General features: G+C 43.7%; 1 annotated feature.

Annotated features, from left to right (window-relative positions):
* Positions 1-1,200: an enhancer, noted in NCBI's record as "BRD4-independent group 4 enhancer chr1:222483844-222485043 (GRCh37/hg19 assembly coordinates)". NCBI's record gives its function as "activates an origin of replication core promoter dependent on BRD2, P300/CBP, MED14 and CDK7 cofactors, and independent of BRD4, by STARR-seq in HCT116 cells {active_cell/tissue: HCT116}" and the evidence as "EXISTENCE:reporter gene assay evidence [ECO:0000049][PMID:35650434]".

A 1,200-nucleotide genomic window follows, 5' to 3' on the forward strand; every position in this document is an offset into this window, starting at 1 on the left:
CAGAGTAGTGATGTGATGTGATAAAAGGTGGAGTTTTCTAAAAATTAACTTGACAGGGGACTCAAGATGGACTATAGCAGGGAGCAGACACAGGGAAGCACTGTCGTAACTCAAGTATAAAATGATATGGGCCTGAGTTAGGCTGTTGGGAATGATAAGAAAAAGATGAGTCTTAAGACTTATGGCAGGAATAATCTAATATTACTGAGAATAACTGATATTCAAATAATCAATTTGAATAACTGATATTCAAAATCTCTGTGATGTCATAGGCTCTTTCTTGGACTTTGCCATGGACATAAGATAACTAGCCTCATGGGTCTGAAGTCTCAGATGAGCAGTTTGGCTATGATAGACTCTAAGGTTACATAATTGGTCCAAGAGAAGGCTCTCCAGATATCTTGGTAATGAAAATCTCTGTGTAGCCAGTATCTTAGCCCTTGTCTGCATTCACAGTCAGCTGCTGCCACTGTCATCCTCTGCAGCTGTTCTACAGCATGTGACATCCTGACTGAGCCTCCGCCGGAAATCCAGTGAGTGCTGATGCCCATTTTAGGGCCTGCTACATGGCAGCGGAAATGCACATCCTCCCAGAGGACAGCGAGTGAGTTCCGGAGCCCACATTCAGATGAGCCTGCACAGACCTCTCCCAAGGAACTTCAGGATGATTGATTAAATCTCTGCCTTTCAGTCCCCCTGATTAGGTATTGAACTATCCCTAGTGGGTTTCCTTCCTCTAGCAAAACATCCCACTCAATAGGAAACTATGGTTTTCCCTTTTTCCTGGTCTTCAGGCAGGAGAAACCAGTCCAGCAAGTGAGCAAATGGATTATTCATAACTTTTGACAATACAGTCAGTAAACTGCTGTTGCTAAATGAATCTGCATTATTTATCCCTCTTCCGTAGTCTGCAATTCCATGCTGCCGGATATACTTGTTACCCAGAAATTTAAAGAGATGGTAATATCCCCAGAAATGTAAAGAGATGGCAATACCCATGGTCTCTTTATGTTGTGGCTCACCAGGGCCCTGTTCTTTATGGCGCATGCAATCAGTAAGACCAAGGCTTCAGCTTGGGGAATTAAGGGGCACAGCATGACAGCTTTCCTCTTGCAGGCTGAACTTTTATTTCACTGGCCCAGAGTGGTTGACAACTGTTCTCTAGAATGCCTTATGCTTCCTTTTCTGTAAGAAGGAGCC

Source organism: Homo sapiens, chromosome 1, assembly GCF_000001405.40.
Source record: "Homo sapiens chromosome 1, GRCh38.p14 Primary Assembly".
NCBI lineage: Eukaryota > Metazoa > Chordata > Mammalia > Primates > Hominidae > Homo > Homo sapiens.